Raw genomic sequence first — 27,717 nt, 5'->3', positions numbered from 1 at the left:
AAATGTACTCTATTATTAACAATATTCACCATGCTGTACAATAGATAAGTTTAATTACTTCGTAAAGAAAAAAAAAGATATCCTCAAAAGCACTTCTACAGTATAAAATTACTAAAACAAAAAATACAAATAAAGAAAACATAACAATAAATAAACTATTTCTCTTTTGTGATATACATCAGTTTGTTTTATTCTAATACCTTTCTTAAGCAGTAGGCAAACATCAGAAATTGATATTTCATTGCACGCAATGTATTTCATTTGTTTTAGTTTCTTGGTGATAATCCATGATCTCTTCTTAGAGAAATACTAATAATTAAAACTCTTATTGCTTGCTATATCCATTTTTTGCCTTCCGGAATAGTGTTCCTTACCTGCTTGTGTTTCTATAATTTTGAGAACAGTTTTATGATTGCACTCATTTTAATAATATTTTCTCATTCAAGTAGTACAACAAGCCAAAACTTGTTTTGATTCCTCATAAAAGACAGAAAACAAATAAAAGTATATTACAGATTTAATTATTCAACTTTTGAATTAAAGTTTCTATTTTTATTTTCTTTTATATGAAGACTTGAAAATAATATTACTAAGTAATTATAGTCTTTACACACTGCATACATGTGTAAATTGTGTATTGCCGATTTATTATTTTAAAATACATTGCAAAATGTGTTGAAGATAAAACTTGTTTTTAATCAATGAATTCCATTATAGACAATGACCAATAGATTTTCACAGTCGGGTGGGGTGCATAGCTTTCTAATGATATCCCAGGAGGAAAAGTCCCCAGTTGGATGTACTTAGCTAACCCAAATCTTCCCTCTCTTGCTTGCATTTCTCAGTCAGAATGTACTGAGAGTGCAACATGCTGAAACAAGGAAGAACTGTCCGGAACAACCTGGGCTGTGTCCTCATTTTCTTAGAATAAGATGTTCTATGGCGCTTGCACTTAGTGAGCCCGGTGGCACCTTACAGTTGGCTGGAGTGCTTTCAGTGTCCCTCAGCTGCCGTGCAACATGGGAAGCACCCAGTGGGATTCTATTCCCTCGGCAGCTTTCTTGGGAGACCAGCTCACCATGGGTTCTACACTTCCAGTTATCTGTGCTGCCTGTCCTTGAGTAATAAATCTTTGTCTGACATGTGTGGACATTCTGTCGCATCAAAGTCATGCACTTGGCAGACAACCTCTGCATATAGTAAGTCAGTAAAACCAGCCTGTGAGGTGCAATATTATCTCAAAGGATCCTAACGCCCTGGCTGTTTAAATTATTCTCAAATTATCTCATATTTGGATGAAGTTAGAGACAGCTGACTATTTCAGAATTGCAGCTACCAGACATCTGTTAAACATAAACCTTTATTTCAAAGTCTTAATAAATATAAATCTGTTTCTCTAGTTGGGATTGTAATAGATGGCTAGAGAATAGACATTTGTTAGAGGCTTACAGTGTACTAAATCTTAAGCTGGATGTTTCCTTGCATTGTTTAATTTATCTTAAAAACTTTTGGAAAAAAATGCATACTATCTCATATTTACAAAAGATGGAGATGAGATAGGCATTAAGAAATCTCATTCCTACTTTGCTATTTGAAGTAGTAGTATATAAGAAAGACAAATGCATTTAATCACAATTTTTTTGTCGCATTTGATGGGATAATGCAAATGTTTTTATAATTGATGCAATTTTTAAAAGATTCATACTGGAACAACTATTATAGTGCGTGGGAAATAGTCTGGTCAGCCTTTTAAAGGTCCTAAAGTCTCTGGCATAGGGAAATGTCCTACCCATAGTTTAGATGGCCTGGGTAAATAAAATGAATTGATCACCACCAATTGTTTTTCTCTTTTAAAATGCCAATAAAATAACAGGAAGCCACTGAAAGGTATAAACTTCTGATGAACAAAACTATCAGGCAAAAGACCACATAAGCAATTTCAATTTAATTTTGGATCGCGGTAATTGGACTTAAAAGTAGTGAGTACTGTGCCAGGCAGTCAAAGAAGTAGCCTAGAATGTTTCTAAAGTGTGAGGCAGCTCAGAAAGAAGCTGATTTTACCTGCAGAAATCTAGAATCTAAACACTCAAGAATGCAAAGTATGACTGAGGAGAAATAAAACATGGAGCTAAATTCAAAGGGATTAACTGAAACTTTTCATAAGAGAGTTTACTTTCCTGTCTCTGAGATTCACACACCACATGGTATCCCAGCTGTAGCCCCCAAGCCCCCAAGCTGGTATCTTAAGGGTTCATCTAGGAGAATGTGCAGGTCCCAGGGGAAGGTGATGAGTACTGGCTTTGGCCTTCCTTCTTTTTTTTTTTTTTTTTTTTTTTTTTTTTGAGACAGAATCTTGCTGTGTCACCCAGGTTGGAGTGAGTGCAGTGGCGCGATCTCGGCTCACTGGAAGCTCCGCCTCCTGCGTTCACGCCATTCTCCTGCCTCAGCCTCCAGAGTAGCAGGGACTAAAGGCGCCCGCCACCATGTCCGGCTAATTTTTTTGTATTTTTTTATTTTTAGTAGAGACGGGGTTTCACCCTGTTAGCCAGGATGGTCTTGATCTCTTGACCTCATGATCGGCCTGCCTTGGACTCCCAAAGTGCTGGGATTACAGGCGTGAGCCACCGTGCCCAGCCTGGCCTTCCTTCTTAACCCTGGCTTCTAGTTCTACTCCACTAATGCAAAGATGAACAAGAAATGAGCACAGTAGCATACCCAGAGCTGCCAACCAGCATTTTATTTCCTCATTCTTAGATATGAATGGAGAACAAAATATTCTCTCAACATCTTAAGCCATCACAATGAAAAATTGCCCCAGAACACAAGCAATACAAGTGACAAAAAAGAATGTAGAACAAAAGCAAAATACAAAAAGACATTCTAATGTGTATGCCCAGAGAAATTTAAGAGATATGGCATCCATTTTTTAAATAAAAAAGAAAAATCAGGTAATAAACCAAAGATCCAGAAAATTATAAATAAGTGTCTAAAATAAAATTAAAAGATTGCCAGGGAGTTTAGAAAACATAATCACAGAATGTTCCCAAAACACCAAATAAAATCAGAGAAACAAGAAAATGTGAAAGATAAGAGACAAACAGTATTGATAAATGATGCCAAATATCTAAATAAAATGAGCTCAAGAAAGATAAAATATGATACATAAAAATAAAATTCTAAGCCCCCAATCAACTGAACAGACCATCTTTTGTCCAAGGGGAGCCCTTGGATACCCCACCTGGCCAAGAAAAAATACTGAGTTCCAGCCCCCACAGGAGGAAGGGTTGAATACGCCTCGTTGTACTCCTCTCTCATTAACTGCCATTATTAGTTTTGTTTTTTCACCTAAGGGCTAAACAGAAACCAACCCCTTGAAAAAGATTCCACTACGAATATCAACCAGGCTTTCTTGGTTGGGCACTGACCCTGCCTTTCCCTTTCTGTGGTTGGGCACAACAACTGATCAGTATTTCTTCCCTGTAAGAGACCACTGGCCAGGAAGTGGTTCTGGCAGTCAGTTCACAGAGCACAGAGACTGCACCCAAAGGGCTTTACAAGTAAACAGCCTAATAGTAATACATTTAAATGTTAAGTCTCTGTCCCCAAGGTGAACATGGGATGCATATTGCGTACATGTTAGCCTACTATGCATGTGCACGCCACCCCCTGTGAATATTCATAGTACCTCCTATAATCTGTTGAATATGTAAACTTAGCTACCTCACTCAGTTTAAATTCCTGTTCCCTTTGCCCCTCCCTTGAAGCGCTTGCTTTTCGGTTTCAGTTGGAGGCTTCTCTTCCTGCCTTCAGGCTATGATACCCACTTTTAGAAATAAAACCCTTTTTTCTAAATTTATAGATTTGTGACTTTTTAATTCAGCAGTTGATAAAAACAGTCAAACTCTGAAATATTTAAAGAGGTTTATTCTGAGCCAAATATGAGTGACCAAGGCCCAAGGCAAAGTCTCAAGAGGTCCTCAGAACATATGCCCAAGGTGGTTAGATTATATATATATGTATTTTATATATATATATATATATATATTTTATATATATATATATATATATATATATATTTTTTTTTTTTTTTTTTTTTTTTTTTTTTTTTTGCGACGGAGTCTCGCTGTGTCGCCCAGGCTGGAGTGCAGTGGCACAATCTCAGCTCACTGCAAGCTCCACCTCCCAGGTTCACGCCATTCTGCTGCCTCAGCATCCCGAGTAGCTGGAACTACAGGCGCCCGTCACCAAGCCGGCTAATTTTTATATTTTTAATAGAGACGGGGTTTCATCATGTTAGCCAGGATGGTCTGGATCTACTGACTTCGTGAGGTTACAGTTTGGTTTTATATGTTTTAGGAAGACATACGATATCAATCAGTACATGTGAGTTCAGTCTGGAAAGGCAGGACAACTTGAAGTGGGGGCTTCCAGTTTGTAGGGGGATTCAAAGATTTTCTGATTGGTTGAAAGAGTTAAGTTATTATCTAAAGACCTGGAATCAATAGGAAGTAGTGTCTGGGTTAAGATAAGGGGTTGTGGAGAACAACATTTTTGTTATACAGATGAAATCTCACAGGTGGCCACTCAGTTTCAAGTACTAAAGTTTCAAGTACTAAATGTTATATGAATCATTTTATGTATTACAATGTGAATTATGATATGAATCATCATGAGCACTAAGACCAATTGACAAGTAGCATTTGATGATGGTAGAGCAGGTGATTCTGCTCTTGTAATCACCTGATAGGTTCTTTGTGCCCACTGCACAGGCAAAATCAGTTAACTGAGACCATGGCATTGTGGTAGAGAAAGAGTTTAATTGACAGGAAGCTGGCCATGTGGGAGATGGAGCTATCACTCAAATCTGCCTCCCCAAAGGTTCAGAGCTCAGGGGAGCAAAGTTTTCTATTTAGAGCAAATGTTTCCTATTCAGATATTTAAAGGGTGCCAGCCTTTCCAGAAGTGAGCTAGTAAGTGAAGGAGATTCTCAACAGAATGCAAAGTTCCCCCACAAGAGACAGCTGTGCAGAGTCATTCCAAAATAGGTCAAAGAAATATATTTTGGTGTAAATACTTTGATTTCCTTCAGGGCCTGCTGTCATGTGATGCTCTACTAGAGTCAGGTTGAAATTTGCTAGCTTATTGCTACAAAGAATCTGTTTTGTCAGTCTGAAGAGCTCTATTTCAATGTTAGTGCTGGTCAGATGTGCCTGAACTCCTAAGAGAGGAGGGTGTAATGAGATATGCCTGGCCTCCATTTCTGTCATGGCCTGAACTAGTTTTTCAGGTTTCTTTGGGTCCTCTTGCCCAAGAGGGAGGTCCATTCAGTTGGTCGAGGCACTTAGAATTTTATTCTTGGTTTACATAATAAAATTCTGGAAATTATCCACTCTTCCTACCACCAAAAGGAAGAAATTTTTTGAGTTTCAGTATAGGAATCCCCTCACTGGAAGAGCCCAGTTAGTGACCTGTTAATGAATGACAAATAAACCCACCTGTTAGATCCCGGGGTCCAGGTCCAGCCTATGCTGAAGTTTGAGGGGAGTGGGTGGATGGTCAGAAAGAACACGCGGAGGGCTGTAGGCAGGTGAATATGGTTTTTATTTAGCAGCAGCTTTCATTATCAGCTTTCTCATTAGCTCTTTTCACATTGTCCACCTTTGTCTCAGCTGTTTGCTCTGGCTCTGTGGCTCCTGCCACCCCCACACCTACAGCTGCATGGCCAGCTCTCCCTTGCCTTCTGGGTCAGCAGCTTAACTCTTTTCTCTCTGGGCACCAGCGTGAGCCATGCTGTGGCTCCCCTATGTCCGTCTGCAAGATGGACAGCTCTGGTTCTCTCTCTCTGGGCACCAGCGAGCCCAACATGTCAAGCCATGCTGAGCCCAGCTGAGCCCCAAGAGCCCCTGTACAGCGTTAGCAGGGCAATTACACCTTTTACAAACAACAGTGGCTCAGAGCCAATTATAAACTCATAGAGGTTATATAACAAGTGGAGGTGTGCACCTGCGTGCCAAACTCGATAAGTCATGAAGGCCTGGATATCTGCCTCCGCCTATTGCTTGACCAAAGCACATCCATGTACCTTACACCACCAAAGTATGTAACCACAAAATTTGAAAACCTTAACTATAAAGGAAAGTAATTAAAACTTTCGGAGAAGAAAACCAAGGTAATTTAGGAAGTTTAAAGGTGGAATAAAGACAAGGAAGGATTTATTAAATGTATAACTGTGATGGCTAACTTTTTGGATATTATTTGAACTTTTTTAAAAAACCGAAGAAAAGGCATACAAATTAACATGTTTACACAGGAGCCATCAGAATGAAGACGCAACTTCCCAATGAGGTACAGGAGCTTATGTATCATCTTGAGGTTACAGAAAGAATGGGCACTTGGATCGTTGTAAAACAAGTTGTGGGAGAAGGACTACGAAGAATTCCATTGAGGGGCAATAAATGATTACTAGGGAGAAAGATAGGATCTAGAACCTAAATTGATTGTAAATAATGTTCTTTGGATTTTAAATAATTGGAGACACTCACTATCTTGAAAAACGGTCTGTTCATCTGTGGTTCCTGTAAAGGATAATGAGATAACAGGAAGGGGAACAGGAATATTTGTTCTCCTTGGTGGGCCAGTTCTGTCTTTATGTACATAGTGGAAAAGTCTCTTGCAGTTCTTGTTGACCCCTAAGGATTACAAAAAACAATAATTTGGGATCTGAAAACAGTTTGACCTACTAAATAATTTGCCTAAGGCTATGCAGCTACTTGAGAGGCAGACTAGGCTTCGGGGCCTGACAGCTGACTCCAGAGCCTGGGTCCTTAGCCTTCAACCTATAGTACCTCTTATAGAAATGATCAGCATTTATTGAGTGCTCACTGTCTTCCAGGCATTGTGCTAAAGGCTTTACATATATCAACTCATTTGCCTTCACCATAACTCAAGGTAGGCATGATAATCATAGTTGAAGAAACTAAGACCCAGGGAACCTTAGTGAATTTCCAAAGGTCACACATATAATAATTGACTGAGTCAGGTTTTGCACACAAACCAGCTGGCTCCAGAACCTGGGCCCCATATTTTGTGCCTCTTATATGTTTATGAGTATGGCAGAATTTGGACTGAGACAAGCTTTCATTGTAGTTCAGAGAGTTTGGAAGAGGGAATCTTCTGTGTGTGTGTTTTTATTTTACTTTATTTTTATTTTATTTTTCTGTCAAACCTCAAAGCAGATGCTAAAGGCATTACATTTGGTAGGACACATGGAAGATGACAATATTATTTTCTGGCCTGCTCAAGATGACTGATACTGTCATTTAGGTGAAACTGGAGATTGACCTAATGATTTCTTCAAAAATAAGCAAGGAAGTGAAAAAGAGAAAGGAAGAAAGTGGTGTAAAAGGATAGAGGTAGCATGTGTGAAAGATAGGAAGAGAGACTATAAACGGTATTTCAGCCATACCAACTCTAGATATTTTAAAAACAGTGTCCCCAAGCTGTGTGAACAGTGAAGGGGCACACTTCTCCCACAATACAGCTTGCTCTTTTCTTTCAGCCACATTGATAGAAACATATAGTTGGTGTCTTACTAGGTTCTTTAAAGTTTCAAATACTAAATGTTATATGAATCATTTTATAATTACTAGGTGAATTATGGTATGAATCACCGTGAGCACTAAAACCAATTGACAAGTAGCATTTGATGATGGTAGAGTAGGCGATTCTGCTCTTGTAGTCACCTGATAGGTTGTTTGCTGCACAGGCAAAATCAATTAACTGACACCATGGCATTGCAGTAGAGAAAGAGTTTGACTGACAGGAAGCTGGCCATGTGGGAGAAGGAGTTATTACTGAAATCTGCCTCTGCACAGGCTCAGAGCTTAGGGATTTTATGAACAATTTGGTGGGTAGGGGGCTAGGAATGGGTGTTGTTGATTGGTTGGGGATGAAATCATAGGGTTGTGGGAAGTGGCCCTCTGCACTGAATCCACTTCTGGGTAGGACCACAGGACCAGTTGGGTCATGAGTCATGGGTTCAGGCAGGGTCAGTCTGAAAAATATCTCAAAAAACAACAACAAAAAAGAAATCTTAGATTCTACAATAGTGATGTTATCAGTAGGAACAATTGAGAAAGTCACAAGTCTTGTGACCTCTAGCTAGATAACTCCTGAGAAGCAGAGGATTATAGAAACTATTGCTACATTTTAGCAGAATTCAGGCCTGTCGCATAATCCTATTCTTATGGCCTTTCATTAATCTTACAAGGGCAGTTTTTGTTTCCTGAGCAAAGAGGGAGTTCATTTTAGGGAGGGACTATTATCATCCTTGCTTTCAAGTTAAACTATGAACTAAATTCCTCCCAAAGCTAGCATGGCCAAACCCAGGAATGACCGAGAACAGCTTGGAGGTCAGAAATAAGATGGAGCCAAACATGTCAGATTTCTCTTACTGTCATAATTTTGCAAAGGTGGTTTTGCGTGCACACACACAGTCTCTCTCTCTCTCTCTTTCACTTTCTTGTTCTCTTGCAAACTCCCTCTTACTCTCTCTCATTGAGTAAAACTGAAAAACTAGACTGAATATATATTTAAACTTACCAGGAAGTATCAAAGAGCTAGCAAGACAGTGATGAATTATGGAGCAAGATCCAGGATGCATGCTTTGTGGTCATAAACGACGTGGTAAAATAGTAATATGTAGGTGAACAGATTTGATGTGGTTAGAAAATACAGACGTATTTTCCACTTAAGGTCAAGAATGTTCACTTTTGACCCTTTTGAGGTTTTCATTTTCCTGATTTCATTTATCAAGGTCTCTGAGCTATTGATTTCCAGCCACCCTCTGTAACTCTAAACGCTGTTTCTTAAACTTGAGAGAAAAGCAGCTCAATTTACCAGAAAATTATTTAGGCATATCAAAGAGGTTTTAGTTTGTTTTCTTTTCATATATCCTCTCTAATAATGGTTCCTCCTTGGATTTGTAAAATTGACAATCTTAAATCATAGGACAGTATATTCCTAGAATAGGAAAGGAATGAAAAAGAAAAGAAAATATATTGCCCACTCTTTCTTATTTTTTGTTCCTAGCTTCATTTGTCCTCCATCTCATTTTCAGAGAATCACCTCCACTATTGTTTTGGGAAATATGTCCCCACAGCTGCCTCCTTCCTTATGAATTGGTTGAAGTGCCAGCATTCTTCAGCTGAGCCAATCAGAATCCTTCTCAGTCTGATTAGGAAGGTTCCTTAGTTTGGATCCTACTAAAATTTCAACTCAACTTGTTATCTATTTTTAAGTAATGAAATGTAAACATGTACACTCTTGACTATCATATTCTGATTCAAGTATTGGAAATAAATAAATATGATTGGCTACATGAAAGTACAGTGAGTTAAACGGAGAGATAGAAAGCAGGAAGTTGGAAAGGGAATTCTGATAGTGATCCGTTCCTTGATTCCAATTTTTCCAGAGTCCTAACTTGAGACTTCTTATCCCCTTGGACTTTGACTCAGCAAGATGCTTTGGTGCGTTGTTAATATCTTTGCTTCCTTCTTCAGCTAAGTTTACTTGGCCTATTTAAGGACAGTCACAAAAGAGAGTTAATGGATACCAAAGTTTGGAAGAGACAGCACTATCTCACTGTAACTTGGAACTGAACCGTAAGTGGAAATTAATATTCTATAGGTAATGAAAATTCTTCAGGAATATGCAAAGCTTTTCCCCCTAAGCCTCGGAAGTACAAAATGACATATTAAGTTTAATTCACTTAATAGAAAAAATTAAATGACCTCTATAATTATTAATATTGTTAATAGTTCCTTTAGGATGTTTGGCAGCTTTCTTTATTACAACTTTTGTTCTTTTTCTTTAGTCAAGGATTTGTTTTATTATGTTTAAAGAAATGAGCAAAATATATACATTCCATAAAATAATTAAAAATAACTACCCTTGAGATTTCAGACCCCAGATATTGGCTTCAAATGTTCCAGATTACAAATTGATTCACCAAATCTGAGATGAAATGTCAAAGGTACATGACCAATTATTTATGACATTTCATTTGTAGTTAAGGCTATAAATTGTTCATGATGAAGTCTTGAGAGAGATGCTTAAATGTCACATACTAGAGTGCTGGATTCTATAATAATTGCTACTTTTATGATTTATACTTTTTCATACTTGTTATCTTTCTACCATTTAACACTAAGTACATTTGACTCTGTACACTTTTAATTCAAATTTGGATATAGAAAAAAAAGAGAAAAGAATAGTGCTTATAGTGGTAATTGACTAAAAAAAGGTTAAGATGAATGCATTCATTGATAACATTGACCATAATTTAATTCATTCAATCTCACTGTCAAAGAAAATGAGAACTAATCAATTAGGTATTAAATATATAATAAAAACCTGCAGAATTCTATTCATGTTCACATTTGAATTGGAATCTGACTTTTCACTTGTGCCTTTAGTTTTAATCATTCATCATGAAAGTCTGACATTTCAATTGATACACAAAATTTAGTACAATTAATTCCTATTCAAATGTTAAATATCCCAAACAATTAACATCTGATGTGTTTCTCACACAAATTGGCATGCCTAGCTAATTTTTGGATACCTAAATTCATTCTTTTTAAAGAGTTATGTTAAAAATGTTTTGCCGGGAGTGGTGGCTCACGCCTGCAATCCCAGCACTTTGGGAGATCGAGGTGGGTGGATCATCTGAGGTCAAGAGTTTGGGGCCAATATGGTGGAAGCCCATCTGTACTAAAAACACAAAAATTAGCTGGAGAGTGGTGGCGGGTGCCTGTAATCTCAGCTACTCAAGGGAGGCTGAAGCAGGAGAATTGCTTGAAACTGAGAGGCGGAGGTTGTAGTGAGCTGAGATGGTGCCACTGCACTCCAGCCTGGGTAACAGACTGAGACTCCGTCTCAAAAATAAAAAATAATAATGAAAAATAATGTTTTAAGTTAAATAATGGAGAGGCTTATAATGTTCCAGAATTTTAAAACTTAACTTTTTGTTTTTCCACATTGCAAAATTTATTGTAAATCTTTATTTAATTCAAAATCAATCAGAATTCCATATTGGAAAGCATTAAAATGTTTTGTAAGTTTTTATGGCAGAATAAAGGTGAGATACTTCAATATAACTTTATAATAGAATTCTAGGATCAAGAGCTTGTGATTCAATATAATAAAAAGATATTAATCTGCTATAATTAAAATTATGTTATAGGATAAATAAAAAATTAAAAAGATAATTTACATGATCTCAGAGCATATCTAAGAATATGGGGAATATAACATATATTAAAGGGATATTTCAATGCAGTGGTTAAGATTGTTTTTTAAATTAATAATGTTTGCTTAATAGGCTTTCCACTTAGAAAAATAAAGCTTGCCTTATCAACTATATGGAATGATTTCCAAAGAGATTAATGTGTTAAATATAGAAACAAAAATATGAGCAGCAGCCTCAACATTTATGAGTCATTTTTAAGCAAGACAGGAAACCTGTCATAAAGGAAAAAAATGACAGGATAGGCTGCATGAATGTAAGAAATTTTAGGATATTAATATCCATTATAAGCAAGTCAAAAGATGATAGACTGCCGCAAAGTCTTTGCTTCATGTGAGTGAAGCAACAGAAGTTTCAAGTCACCGTTTTAAAGAATTTCTTCAAATTAGTAAAGCAACAACAAGAAATATTATAGAAAAACCTGGAAAATTGTTACCACCATGGCACAGAATCTTTAAGCTTCAATTTCAAGAATAAACATCTAAAATGTTCAATACATTTAAATGCAGATATGAAATCTACACAAACACATATTTTTAGAATAATTTATCATTTTCTTAGAGGTCTCAGATTTTACTATCTCCAGTTTTTCCTTATGTTTCTTACCATTCTGCTCTTTCAACACTGGAACTCCTTTGTTTAAGCAACAGAGCAGAATGTTATCAACTGACTTATGTCAATGCTTGCCTAATTTCCCATTCTTGTAAAGAACAAATTACCATTTTTCTTACATTAAATTACTATTATTGTTTTTATTTATTATTTATACTTGAGGTCTTGCTCTTTCACACAGGCTGGAGCACAGTGGTGCGACTATAGCTCACTGCAGCCTTAAACTCCTGGGCTCAAGCAATCCTCCTGCCTCAGCTTCCTGAGTAGCTGGGACTACAGACACTCCACCATGCCCAGCTAATTCACTTTTACTTTTGTTTTCAGAGATGGGGTCTCGTTGTGCTGCCCAGGTTGCTCTTAAACTACTGATCTCAAGCAATCCTCCCACCTCTGGCTCTCAAGTAGCTGGGATTACAGGTACTTGCCACTACGCCCAGCTGTCTTGCATTAAATTATATAATGAACAGTAATTGAGATGATTTAGATACCTGCACTAGTCTCCATTATAATATTTCACACAATAGTAAATTATTATTTTTAATTGACTATCAAATTATTGGAACTAAAGTGTCTGCTAAGGCTTTGAATCTATGCAAGCCTCTATTATTACACTACTTGATATTCTGATATATGTGGCCCTATCAAGAACACTGTTCTGCCAATGGAAACTCAGTTCAATCAAATGATAGGGAGCTCTGGACTTTCCCTTATTTCTATTTTCCCAATTTCTTCCCCCAGTCTGCTTAGCTCTCTGAGTTAATGATGGAGTCATTAGGGCTTGTTTCAGCTTGAGTCACACAAACAACACATACATACAGGCAACAAGCATACATTATTTTCCTCAGAATGAAATCATGCTTTTCTGCTAATTTGTAGTTAAGGCTAAAATTATATGTATGGGCATGCTATTTAATACAGTTGCAAATATTTAAGTAGTGGTACATATTTTTTCCCAACTATTATCTTTGGGGGAATTTTAGTATTGGATATAGAAATTTAGAAATAAAATATAGAAAGTTTCTCTAAATTAAGATTTTATTTAGCTTACAGAATTTTATGGATGTTGGAAAGTATGTATATATATATTCATGACACCTTTAGGGAATGTATGGAAGACACATTGATAATATTTGTAACTTTCTCAATTTTCTTCAGAAATGGTATAATCAATTCTACTTTAGGGAGATCAATTTTTGCAGTAATTTTTCAAAATATCATCAATCATATTAACAATCTCAAATATATAACTGGAGTTTGGCCTAATATGCTCTTATCATTTTAATTGCTTATTTACCTTATACCTGTAGCTATAATCTTTTTTTTTTAGTTTCACATTAAAAAGTGTTTTATTCTTTGGTGGCTATTGTAAATGGGATTAAATGTTTAATTTTGCTCTCAGCTTGGACGTTATTGGTGGATAAAAACGCTACTGATTTTTGCACATTGATTTTGTATCCTGAAACTTTGCTGAAGTTGTTTATCAGATCTAGGAGCCCTTGGGCACAGACTATGGGGTTTTCTAGTATAGTATTATATTGCCTGTGAAGAGAGATATTTTGACTTCCTCGCTTCCTATTTGGATACCTTTTCTTTCTTTCTTTTTTCTGATTGCTCTGGCTAGGACTTCCAGTATTATGTTGAATAGGAGTGGTGAGAGTGGGCATCATTGTCTTGTTATGGTTCTCAAGGGGAATGCTTCTATCTTTTGCCCATTCAGTATGATGATGGCTATGGGTTTGTTGTAGATGGCTCTTACTATTTTGATGTATGTCCCTTCAATGCCTTAAAATGCCTCTGAATACAGCTAACTAAGGAGTTGAAAGACCTCTACAATGAGAATTATAAAGCACTGCTGAAAAAAATCAAAGAAAACACAAACAACTCAAAAAAATTCCATATTCATGGGTAGGAAGAATCAATATTGTTAAACTGGCCGTACTCCTCAAAGCTATTTACAGATTCAATGCTATTTCTATCAAACTTCCTATGACATTTTTTCACATAATTAGAAAAAAGTCATTCTAAAATTCATTTGGAACCAAAAAAGAGCCTGAATAGCCAAAGCAATCCTAAGCCAAAAGAACAAAGCTGGAGGCATCACACAACCCAACTTCAACCTATACTACTAGACTATAGTAACTAAAACAGCACAGTACTGGTACAAAAACGGACAGAGACCAATGGAACAGATTAGATAACCCAGAAATAAAGCTGCACACCTACAACCATCTGATATTTGACAGCATCACCAAAAACAAGCAATGGGGAAAGAACTCCCTATTCAATAAATGCTGCTGGGATAGCTGGTTAGCCATATGCAGAATATTGAAAACTGAGCCCTTACTTTACACAAAAAACAAAAAGAAACTCATGGTGGATTAAAGATTTAAAAGTAAAACCTAAAAGGAAAAAGATTCTAGCAGAATATCTAGGCTATACAATTCTGGACATCTCAGCTTGGCAAAGACTTGATGATGAAGACTCCTAAAGCAGCTGCAACCAAAACAAAGATGGACCAGTGAGACCTAATTAAAGTAACCAGCTTTTGCACAGCAAAAGAAAGTATCAACAGAGTAAACAGATAACCTACAGAATGGGAGAAAATACTTGTAAACTGTGCATCTGACAAAGGTCTAATATTCAGAAGCTATAAGGAACTCAACAAGCGAAAAACAAACAACCCCATTTAAAAATGGGCAAAGGACAGGAACAGACACTTCTCAAAAGAAGACATCACGTGGCCAACAAGTGTATGAAAAAATGTTCAATATCACTAATCATTAGGGAAACGCAAATCAAAACCACAATGAGACACCATTCAAACCAGTCAGAATAGCTAATACTAAAAAGTCAAAAAAGAACAGATGCTGGTGAAGTTGAGGAGAAAAGGAAAGGCTTATACACTGCTGGTGGGAATGTAAATTAGTTCAGCCACTGTGGAAAGCAGTCTGGAGATTTTTCAAAGGACTTAAAGTGGAACTACCATTTGACCTAGCAATCCCATTACTGCATATATACCCAAAAGAAAATAAGTTGTTCTACCATAAAGACATATATATATATATATATATATTTTGAGACAGCCTCACTCTGTCACCCAGGCTGGAGTGCAGTGGCACAACCTTGGCTCATTGCAACTTTCCACCTTCCGGGTTCAAGCCATTCTCCTGCCTCAGCCTCCCAAGTAGCCGGGCATGAACCACCACACCCAGCTAATTTTTGTATTTTTAGTAGAGATGAGGTTTTGTCATGTTGGCAAGGCTGGTCTCAAACTCCTGACCTCAGGTGATCTGCCCGCCTCAGCCTCCCAAAGTGCTGGGGTTACAGGTGTGAGCCACCGCATGAACATAGAAACATCTATGATATTTCTGCTAAAGATAAATAACCTGAATCAATCATAAGGAAACAATAGACAAAACAAAACTAAATGGCATTCTACTTGTACCCGCCTGAAACCCTCAAGATTGTCAAGGTCATGATAGCCAAGGAAATGTTGAGGAACTGTTTCAGACAAAAGGAGATTGGAATGACATGTGACTCTGAACTTGATTCTTTTGCTAAAATGGACATCAGTAGACAAATGGTGAAATTTGAGGACCTGAGGATTAGCAGGATTAGATGATGGTAATATTTCTATGTTAATCGCCTGGTCTTCATGCTTTTGCTGTAGTTGGACAGCATATTCTTGTTTGCTCAGTGTGATGGAGCATCATGTCTACAACTTACTCTCAAATAGTTTAGAAAAACTTCTTTATATTATACTTGAAAGTTTTTGTAAGATTGTTTCTAAAAATAATAAAGAAAAAGGTTTTGTAATGTTTATCGTAGCCTATTTCCCATAAACCACATGAAAACGTATTTATATTTTATTTTTTCATAACATTTTGCTCATTAAAGCTTAGATCTTGATTTTAAAAACTATTGTTGCTCAAGTAACTCTGAGACATCTATGAAATATTAGATAGGATTCCAACGCTCTTGCTGTCAGAGACCAAAAAGAAAAAAAAATGGAGGTTAGATAAGACCCATGTTAAATTATTTCCTTTTAGGAGGACTTCATGTTTCTTGATTCAGTAAAATAGGTATGCATATTTGGGTAGTAAAACTGTGTCAACTGTCTCTTTCATCTTCCAAATAAACACACACACACACACACACACACACACACACACACACACTTTGCTTTTGCTATAAGACTTTTTTTCCTTTTTTTTTTTGACAAAGTCTCACTCTGTCCCCACTTTGGCCTCCCAAAGTGCTGGGATTACAGGCGTGAGCCACCGCGCCTGGCCCATTATTTTTCTTAGATTAAAATCATGTTTTCTTTCTATTTTGTCCTGAAATCATATTTATAGATATGCTATTTAATACATTTGCAAATCTTTAAGTAGTGATCTTTTTCCCATCAAATACCTTTGGGGAATTTGGATTTGAAAGCATTAGGAGATATTTGGCAAGATTCAGGATAGAAGGAGGCTAAAGAATATTTGAAATTATGGAAAGAAAGCAGTTTTCATGGGATAAAGTATTTCTGGATGTGGCAGTGCTGTATATTTTAGAGATAAGTGGAAGAAAATATTCCAGTAAAATACCGTGGAAATAGATGAAGGAGCTAGAACATTCACGTCTCACCTTCCCAATTTTGGCTATAGGTTTATATAGAAGATAATTTAAGGGACAAGAAAAACAAAAGACTACAAATTTGGTTCAATGTACACTGCTCAGGTGAAGGATGCACCAAAATCTCACAAATCCCCACCAAAGAACTTACACATGTGACCGAATACCACCTGTTTCCCGAAAACCTATAGAAAGGAGAAAATTCTAAAAATGGGCAAATTTATTTATCATTCTAGCATCTGATATTAGTTCCCTGAGGAAGAATATTTCTGACCATAATATGAGCTCAATGTGAAAAAATAACTCATTAAGATCTAATCAGCTAATGACATCTTAGTGTGGTTGTATTGTTTTAGACCTCAATTCCTGAAGGTTTTTAGTGAAAGGCAAAGTGTCAGTTTCATCTGTGAGAAGATCTGGAACAAGTCAATTTTAGACACATTTCTAAGATTCCTTGAGCCTGATCCACCATCGATCAATTTTTCTCACTTTCCTTTCTTTAAGAGGTAAAATTGGGTAACTCTAACTTTCTAGCCCAGAGATAAATGAACCTTTTCATTTTAAACTGCCTCCCAGCACATCCTTTTTAATGTAGAGAGATCAAACTAACAAGAAATGAAATTTTAAAAGCTTTCATATACGTCAGCTGCAATGGTGGTCACTCGGGTCTTCTCTACCATTAGTCTGAATGCATTAATCTGCTTTAGTTCTTGTCCGGTGCTGTTGAAATTTCACTCTGATTTCTCTGGACACTCTGGTACCCATATGCCTTATTAGTAGGACATGTGCTTGCAAAGAGATGCAACTATACTATTCAACAGTTAAAATGACTCTTATCCATTTACATTTTTGGAAGTTTTGAGATAACACTTTCTAAAATACAATAGTTTGATTATTTGTAAGCACATTAAACAGATGTCAAGAGGAAGGATCATTTTATATTCCTGTATTTAAATGTCTAGTTCAGAAAATAATTTATACTCTTCAAAAGGAAGAAGTTTCATCTAAAAGTAGATCAGAAGTAATTCATATGCAGTCATATAAAGTTCACAAAAATATTTCTCTGAGTACTTTTCCAAATGAAACGACTGTTTTAAAAATTAATAGAGTGGATTCAAATTAATTTTAACTTTTTAAAATTTATTGGATCTTTACTATGAACACTAAACATGTATACAAATCTGAACTAACAAAATTATGGCTCACTTTATAGTTTTATATTTGAAATATTTGGGGTTACCGAAATTAAGTTTTAGTCTGACCAAGGTTTGAACATACTGTTAATCATATTTGCTCGTAATTTAATAAGGCATAAGAATAATCTGGCAATAGGAAGTAAGAAAATAGATTGTATAATTGAGTCAATAAATTTGAATTATCATTATCTTAATCAATTTTAACACCAATGTGAAATAAAAAATACCTTGGTAAGGTATTGTTGAATTTCCTCATATACTTTTGCCAGTTTACTTCTGGACTCCAAATCTGTGCTGTGTGATGTTCATTTTCGAGCTCATACTGTTACCAGGGTGTCCTTGTTCCCAGAGCTCCCAAGATGGTGGCGGGCTGCTTCCAAGAGGGCAGCAAGCCTCGTGTTCTGACCTGGGGTTCTTGGCCTCAGGGATTCCAAGGAATGGAATCTTGGGCCACGTGATGAGTGTTATAGCTCTATTAGAAGCCGCGGGTCGCAGAAGAGAACCGTGGAACCCAGTGACTAGTGTTCAGCTCAGTTAGGACGAACCCGGGAACTTAGCTATGCAGGAACAATGGCAAGCCTTTAGCCTGATCGAGAGCGGCAATGGGCACCTTGCTGGATCAGGAGCACAGCAGACACCCTGCCGGATCCAGAGGGATGGAAGTCAGCGGCGGGTCTGTGACAGCGGCAAACAGCAGTGGTGGACAGCAAGTGAAAGCTCAGCTCGAGCCGTAACAAACACTGACCAGAAGAGAGCGCAGTTGCAAGTTTTAATAGAGTGAAAACAGAGCTCCCATACAAAGGGAGGGGACCCAAAGAAGGTAGACGTTGCCAGCTCGAATGCCTGGGTTTATATCCCGATCATTGTCCCTCCCCCTGTGCTCTCAGGCGATACATGATTGGCTATTTCTTTACCTCCCGTTTTTGCCTAATTAGCATTTTAGTGAGCTCTTTGATTGGTTGGGTGTGAGCTAAGTTGCAAGCCCCCTGTTTAAAGGTGGATGTGGTCACCTTCCCAGCTAGGCTTGGGGATTCTTAGTCAGCCTAGGAAATCCAGCTAGTCCTGTCCCTCAATACCAATTGCCTTAGCAGGCTTCGACAGATACTGCTAGTGGTGCTATGATGGAGAGCAATGATGCTTTGGTGTGGAAATCTGAACCAAATCATCAAGAATCACTAACTGTAAAATAGGAGAAATGAGAGAGTTGCACTATTATATATGATCGTCATGTTGTGGTTAAAGTTTTTCTAAATAGGACACTATTTCTGGGGTGGGAAGAGGAAATGAGTACTCTAGTTAGCTTCTTGCCTGTGCATTCATATTTATTGACTATTTGTTTTAAAGTGAAATACAGATTCAGAAAGCCGCCTAAAGAAATATATAGCTTAATTAATTACCAAATGGAAAAACAAACAAACAAAAAACAGCTTTTTAATGACCCTTCTCCCTGACTTCCTGATAGCAAGGTCAAGAAACACAACTTTGACTCCCGAAGCCATCCATGAGACCGTCCTCATCCTGAATCTCCCCTTCCCACAAAAGTTACAACCATCCCTACTTTACAGTAATCTCTTCTTGGTATTTATTTATTAATTTATGTTGTACTCCTTTTATCGTCTTTTCATTGTAATTATTTGACTATTTTAGCAGACTACCCTCTGCCAAGTAGCACTGCTATATTTTTAAGGAAAGCTACTCAAATGTATGAAAACATTTAACTTATTTAAACATTTGCTAATCTAAATAGTTTACATTATTAAGAGCAACAAAGGAATTTTCTAGAAATTATTCACCTCAGAAGGTAACAAGCCAGTGACCTTCAAACCCAAGGAGTGTTTTTGTTGTTGGAAACTCTTTCATGACTCGGTCGACACAATGGAGGAATGTTTCTACACCTCACATCAAATAGCTAATTAACACTGCTGGTTATAAAAGTCAATATTTATCTTGTCAAAAAATATCACCAAGTAGGAAATGTGTATTTTAGGCCGGGTGCAGAGGTTCACGTCTGTAATCCCAGCACTTTGGGAGGCCAAGGTGGGCAGACCACTTGAGGTCAGGAGTTCAAGACCAGCCTGGTCAACGTGGTGAAAATCTATCTCTACTAAAAATACAACAACAACAACAACAACAACAAAAATTAGCCAGGCATGGTGGCAGACACCTGTAGTCCCAGCTACTTAGGAGGCTGAGGCAGGAGAATGGCTAGAACTCGGGAGGTGGAGTTGCATTGAGCCAAGATCAAGTGACTGCACTCTAGCCTGGGAGACATGGCAAGACTCTGTCTCAAAAAAAAAAAGTGTATTTTAAATTACTTAAGAAAAAATGTTTACACAAAGGCACATATGTAATTTGCTGTTTTGTTTTTAACCTATGCTGTTTTACTGTTATTTTTCATTATTTCATTAAAAAAATTGACATAAAAAAGTGGAATAATAAACTGCCTACTACTGATCATATGTCACCTAAAATTCATAATTTATTATATTTTATTATAGTATATTAGTTCCAATTTAACATTAAAAATATTATGAATAAAATTTAAAATAGCAATCATTTTCCTTACCACTCCCATGACCTGTGTGTGTGTGTGTGTGTGTGTGTGTGTGTGTGGTGTGTGTGTGTGTATGGTATAGGTTTATAAAAAATAAGCATATATATCTATATATCTATGCTCATTCAGGCTCTTGGATGGTTCATGTTCACAAAATTAGGTTTACTTATATTAATTTCTAACCAGCGGAATAAAATATATCATGTAAATCTTCAGTGAATGCTTATTTATTTTGGGGATTAAGAAACAAATTTCTAAAGTCAGCTGAGTAAATGAAGAGTTAATGGGTGCAGCATGCCAACATGGCACATGTATACATATGTAACAAACCTGCACATTGTGCACATGTACCCTAAAACTTAAAGTATAATAATAATAAAATTTTAAAAAAAAGGAAATTCCACATCAGCTTTTAGAGGCTGTATAGTTTGGGAAATGTTACTACCGCTTTTTTTTCCATATGTAAAGAATGGGACTAGACATACTGCTTTACATAGGATTCAGTTAGGTTACCACCTACTGAAAACCCCACAATAATGATAGCTTGGGTGAGATATGTTTATTTATCATAAAAGGAATCGGGTAGATACCATACCATGGGCTCCTTTGAGCTTACTACTTTCCTTTTCTAGATGTCACCTTATGGTCCAAGATGACTGCTCAATCCCTGGCGATTAAATCTGCAATCCAGGTAGCAGAAAATTACAGGGACAAAGGGTACATTCTCCTTCTTTAGAAATAACTTTCACAGGCTGTTCTTTACAGCTTACTGGCTAGAACTTAATCATATTTCCACATGTAACTGCAAAGGAACCTGATAATGTAATTTACATGCAGGGAAATGGTACAGGCTTAAAAAATGGAGAATTCTACTACAAAGGACTAGTAGAAGTCTCTAGTGCAGACTGTTTCTTTGGCTACATGCATGTTTCTTCTCTCACATACAGAACTCTTTCCTGGAGGGAACCAATCAAAGTTTTTCAAGTAACTTCATCCAGCTGAAAATTGAGTATATCTGGGCGACTTATAGTTGGTTCTGTCCATCAGGTCTAGAGAAGTCTGCCATGAAGTATCAATATACAATGCACAAATACGGTGAAAAAATCAGTGAAAGAAAATGTTTTCTATTCAGAGAGGCATACATGAAAAACACAAAGCCTTCACATGTCCAGAGTTCTGATGGAACTACGCCAAGACAAGAAGAGTGAGGGGTACCTTCACCGGTGATAATGATCCTGTGTTTATCCATGTGTAAGGCCTTGATTCTGCTCTCTTGGTGAACATTTCTTGCCTGCATTGACTGATAAATTTGTTTTCTTGGAATTTCTTTAACGTCTGAAATTTTTCATGACTATATGGCAGGAGGGTGTTGGAAAATAAGCCCTTTTTGGGGATTGCACATTCTTCACAGGTCACTTCCTTCTTGTGCATTTGTGGGGTCTCATAAATTGTTTAAAGACATTGACCAGCCAGTCTGTAGGTTTTCTTTCAAAGATAATTCCCTGAAAAGATAGTAGGCTTTCTACTTTCTCCTGTTGAGTTTCATGTCTGTGCAGATGCATACAAAGACCTACTGTGAAAATTGCTTTTAAGCTCAAGAACTCTTGTTTTTCACTTATTAAACTCTTTTCTCAGTTCATCTTCCTCTATCAATTTTAGTGGCCATTGCTTTATAGCCATCATAATGGGTTTTAGATGACAGCATACGGGAATCCCTCAATCCAATTTCAGACATTAATGTTACTATATAGAGACTCCTGGAGTTGAACTTGGAGGTGAGCAGTGGGAATGTGGTGATATTTTGACCACCCACTGTGTAAACTAGTTTAAAGGAATGGTGGTTACTCATTTTCCTGATTGGATTTAAGCAGCAGACACATAGAAGATGGTTTCACATATAGCCACAGAGTGTCTGCTGAGGTTTTGGCAAAACTATACGTGGATTAATTCTAATAGAGATGAGAAATTTATGTTTCTTATCATCTTTTGTGTGCATTTTTTGGGTAACATCTAAATAAGCAAATTGAGAAAAACTTGTTTTTCACCAATTACAAATAAAAGAGTGAAAGTATTCTCTCCCTAATACTCAAAAACACAAAGGTCTCATCTAATTTTTGATGACAGTTTAGAAGCTAAGAAAGGAAGTTAACTAGTCATCTATAACATAAAATAGTTTATCATAGGAAAATTAAACATAAAATACAACACAAACTTCCTGTTACTTCCAAATAAGCCTAGAACAAGTAAATTTAATACATTTACTTCTAACCTGAGATTTAGACATAGAAATTGTGGGAACAAAATTTAGCAGATTAACTAGTGTCTATTTCCTCCAGAATTATAATGGGAGGAAAATGGCCTCAAGGTTTATAGGCCGTATGTAGACCTTATGCTTCTTTCAATCTGGGACTTGATAATTCTGTCATGTAATTAAATGTCTTACGTGTAATAACATAACGGAGAAGGCATTTTATTAACCATAACTGTTTAAAGCCTCTTTCTACAGGTACACAATTCAGTACAAAACAAAGTAATGCCTCAGATCTATTCTACTTAAAATAATTCAAAAGTTTTTCAAAGCTGTATACTAACCTCCTGCATAATTCTAGATATATGGTATTTATCCACACTCCTTCAAAACTTTACAACAGTTTTACTTTTTTCTTTTTTCTCTCTATAAAAAAATTTTTGAGTTTTTTACATTTTATTTTTTTAGACACAGGGTCTTCCTCAGTTGCCCAGACTGTAGTTGTCTAAGGTTAGGGGTTACTGTTTGTTAGGAGTAGGGTTAGGGATCACAGCTTACTGCAGCCTTGCACCTCTGGGCTCAAACAATCTTACTGCCTCAGGCTCTGAAGTCACTGGGAGTACAGGTGTACGCCACCAGGCCCAGCACTTTTTTTTCTTTTTTCTTGGTAAAGATGGGGTCTTACTATGTTGCCCAGGCTGGTTTTGAACCCTTGGCCTTAAGGGATTCTCCTGCCTCAGGCTCTCAAAATGTTGGGATTATACACATGAGCCATTGCTTCTGGCTACTTCTTTTAATTTTATTTTAGATTCAGTTGGTACGTGTGCAGGTATATTACAAGGGTATATTTTGTGATGCTCAAGTTTAGGCTTCTATTCATCCCATCATCAAATAGTGAACATAGTACATGGTAGAAATTTTCTCAGCCCTGTCTCCCCTCACTCCCTATCCACTCGAGTATTCCCCAGTGTCTACTTTTTCCATCTTTATGTCCATGTGTATCCAATGTTTAGCTCCCACTTGTAAGTGAGAATATGAAATATTTGGTATTCTGTTTCTTCATTACTCACTGCAGATAATGGCCTCCAGCTGCATCCCTCTTGCTACACGATTTCGTTCTTTTATATGGCTGTGTAGTATTCCATGGTGTATAGACTGTTGATGGGCACCTAGGTTGATTCCATGTCTTTGCTATTGTGAATAGTGCTGTGATAAACATGTGAATACAAGTGTCTTTTCCATAGAAAAATTTATTTTCCTTTGGGTATATACTCAGTAATGGGATTGTTGTGTCAAATGGTAGTTGTATTTTTACTTCCTTGAGAAATCTCCCAACTGCTTTCCACAGGGGCTGAACTAATTTACATTCCTACCAGCAATATGTAAGTGTTCTCTTTTCTCTGTATCTCCACCAACATCTGTTATTTTTTGACTTTTTAATAGTAGTCAGTGCGACTGGTGAGAGATAGTATCTCATTTTGGTTCTGATTTGCAGTTCTCCAATGATTAGTGATGTTGAATATTTTTTCATATGTTTGTTGGCCACTTTACAGCAATTTTATTTGAAAGGAACTTTAGGTATTTATCTCTTGGCTACCAGTTAAACAAAAGTAAAACCAACTTTGATTTAGTTTGGATAAGTAAAGACCAAGGGAGAGAAATTATACACACACACATACTTGCCTCATTTATAATTAGCATTCATCTTCTGTGTGTCCTGGGATAGAGTACAAATGCGAAAGGGAGGCATATTTGTGTTCAATACAGTAAAGGAATCAAATAAATGAACAAACAAAAGTGATTTTTCCTCTAAAAGTAAAATAGAATAAACAAAATCAATTATATTAACCCTATAATGTAATACTGTGCTACATTATAATATAATTTCCATATATAATATATATTTGGAGTACTTTTTCTTATAACAATGTGGTCTTTTTACATGTATGCATGTAAGATTATATTATCTATTTAATTTTTTATAATAATTTTCATAACCTAACATTTAGCATGGTAATAATTGTAATAACTATTTTTTTACTATCTACTATTATAGCTTAGGCATGTGGCTTAACCTATTTAACCATTCTCCTACAATTATTTTATAACATCATTATATTTTAGTGTGTATGTGAAGGTGCTCTAGTGAAGAGATCTGTCATATATTAACTAGAGCAAAACAGAAAACTGTCATGTGGCAGTTCAAAGGTGTACAGGTATACCAGTCTTTTCTCGCACTGCAATAAAGAAATACCTTAAACTGGATGATTTATAAAGAAAAGAGGTTTAGGCTGGGTGGGGTGGCTCACGCCTGTAATCCCAGCACTTTGGTAGGCCGAGGCGGGCGGATCATGAGGTCAGGAGATCAAGACCACGGTGAAACCCCGTCTCTACTAAGAATACAAAAAATTAGCCAGGCGTGGTGGCAGGTGCCTGTAGTCCCAGCTACTCGGGAGGCTGAGGCAGGAGAATGGCGTGAACCCGGGAGGCGGAGCTTGCGGTGAGCTCAGATCGCGCCACTGCACTCCAGCCTGGGTGACAGAGCAAGACTCCGTCTCAAATAAAAAAAATTAAAAAAATAAAAAAGGTTTAATTGGCTCACAGTTCCACAGGCTGTACAGGAAACACGGATGGGGAGGCCTCAGGAAACTTACAATGATGGCAGAAGGTAAGGGAGAAGCAGGTGCCTCTTACACGGCCAGAGCAGGAGCCTTCTCAATTCTATGCCTGAGACACTTTCCCATGCTCTCTCTTGAAACACGTGTGGCACCAAAACCTATTTCCTCTACTTCTTGAGCATGCAGCTAAATTTCATTTACTAGCCTCTCTTACAGTTAGGTATGCCTGAATTCCCCTGAGCTCTGGCCAAAAGTCTGGGTTTTGTACAGTAGACCAGAGAGGGGGAAGTGATACACACTTTTAAACAACCAAATCTCGTGATAACTCACTCATTATCACACAACAGCAATGGGGGAATCTACCCCCATGATCCAATCACTTCTCACCAGGCCCCACCTCCAACATGGGGATACAACTTGACATGAGATTTTGGCAGAGACACAGACCCAAACCATATCAACAGGAGTTACGGGGCTGGTAAGGAGCCCTGCTGCACACGCTCCACATTGAAGTTGGCCCAAGCATACGTACGTTCTTATTAGAATTTCAAAAATAAAATGTCTGAAAGCATGCATATATACTAAAGAAAATATAAAATCACAGTTATAAAAACAAGTCATGTTAACATGATCTTATAGAAATTAGTTCAGAGCACAGATTATTTATTAGCTTGTGATCTTAGTCAGGTTACTAAATGTCTAGTGATTGCTTTCCTACTCTTTAAAGTAGAGATAATAGGAGTAACTTCATCTCATGCTTTTTGTGAGGGCAAAATGAATGAATATTCGTAAAGCTTTGTGAACTTTGGCACATATGCTAATTTTTTAATAGTAAAAAATTTCAGGCTTCACAGGAATATATTTCTGAACCCTATCCTTAAGACTTATTAACAGTGAGATTTGGAGAACAATCATTTAAACTGTCCATAGCTGACCTTTATCATAATACTAGTTAACTTTTATTCAATCACAAGTATTTATTAAGGAAATGTCATTATATTTCAGGCATTGTTTTAGGCACTAAAGACAAAGCTGTGAACAAGACAGACAAACATTCTGCCTTCTCAGTAAATCTGAGGGCATTTAAGAAGGTGTTAATTGCTATGAAAACAAATAAAGTGATAAGGGATAAGGGAGTGTAAGATATTTGGGATTTTCACAATTTTAAATATGGGCTCAGAGAAAGCCTCAATGAAAGGGTATGATTTGAGTTGAGGGAGAGACCTGGAGCTAGGCTCCAGGATTACAGGCAAAGATAAGGGTAGTTTGAAAGGCCTTGACTTGCCTGGTTTGTTTGAGGAAGTGCAACCAGGACAGAATGTGGTGAAGGAGAGTCATGAGAAAGGAAGTCTGGAGGGAATAGGAAGCCAGATTGTGAAGGTGTGGTAGATGCTGAAAAAGTCCTTGGCTTTGGCTTTAATCTGTGGCTTGGGAGAGTGTCCTTGGAAAGTTCTGAGCAGAGGATCCACATGCTCTGACATGTTTTTTAAAGATTCACTCTGGTTGCTTGAGGTAGACTGATAAGCAAACAAATATGTGAGCAGAAAGAAAATTCAAGAGACATTAACTCAACCGAGAGAAACGGTGATTTCATCCCGCTTGGTAGGTGATGTCTCCTTGGTCCATTCTGCTGCAGAATGCAGGCTGCCATGTGCTCAGAACTCATCCTCACTACCACCAACCCAGCCATGGGTAATTGACCCAGAGGCTAACCATCTGTTTCAGGTTGGAGCATTTTGAGACATCCACTGATTTTTTAAAAAATTGGTACCATAAAATATGTTAATCCTTCTCTGGTAATGATAGCTGCAGAATCTTGGCATTTGAAATTTACAAATTGTCAGTTGCCATGAGCTTCATCATAAAGCGGGTGATAAGGACACCTGCATTATCTTTTCTAATGTAAATGTTCCTTTATAGCTTAACATTAAGCTTATTCTCCCTGGCAAAGGACCTCCAGGCTTCCCTATGCTTGTACAGAAAATTATAAAGCCTGAAAATTAGGGAAAAGTAATATTGTTCCAATCCTCTCTTCTTCCCTTGTAACCTGTATTCTGGGACAATGCAGCTTTCCTCGTTAGGAGACTTCTGCACGTGAAAAGGTGGCGGCTGTTAAACGAGCCTTGTTGCTCATTCATAGCCTGAATCATAAATTTGACTCAGGATATAGTGACCAGATGACTTAGATATATGTTTTGTACAGTTCCTTATTGTGTTTTGTTACATAGTCGTAATATACATTTAATGTACCAGTATGGATGTTTTTACCTTATTAAATGTTTTATAGTATTTCAATGTGTAATGGGGTCTCTACTATTATACCAGATGTCCCTAAAAAAAGAGCTTTATAATACCTAAGAAGAAAGCTCCGCTACAAAGGTAGATAAAACTCCTGTGACCACATCGATTCAAAAAAAACATCTAGATCACCATTTGACAGAGCCATTAGAGTGGAGAATAATAAATGACAAGTGGTTGAAATATCATGTTTTCAGATTCTGTCAACTTGAAATTAATACAGTACTTTGCTCATAAACTGCTTAGGAATGTTTTATACTCAA

General features: G+C 37.1%; 1 long non-coding RNA gene across 1 annotated transcript in view; it reads left to right on the top strand.

Moving 5' to 3' along the window:
- Nucleotides 1-9,558: 9,558 nt before the first annotated feature.
- Nucleotides 9,559-27,717, top strand: part of LINC02174 (long intergenic non-protein coding RNA 2174) — a 36,081-nt gene continuing 17,922 nt past the window's right edge. Inside the window, exons 1-2 of the long non-coding RNA NR_147157.1 lie at nt 9,559-9,662; nt 12,245-12,337. This is a non-coding gene — a long non-coding RNA (long intergenic non-protein coding RNA 2174). The remainder of the gene's footprint in view (nt 9,663-12,244; nt 12,338-27,717) is intronic.

The sequence above is a fragment of the Homo sapiens genome, chromosome 4 (assembly GCF_000001405.40).
Source record: "Homo sapiens chromosome 4, GRCh38.p14 Primary Assembly".
Classification (NCBI taxonomy): Eukaryota; Metazoa; Chordata; class Mammalia; order Primates; family Hominidae; genus Homo; species Homo sapiens.
The sequence above is the reverse complement of the archived record's forward strand: the minus strand, read 5'-3'. Positions and strand labels throughout refer to the sequence as shown.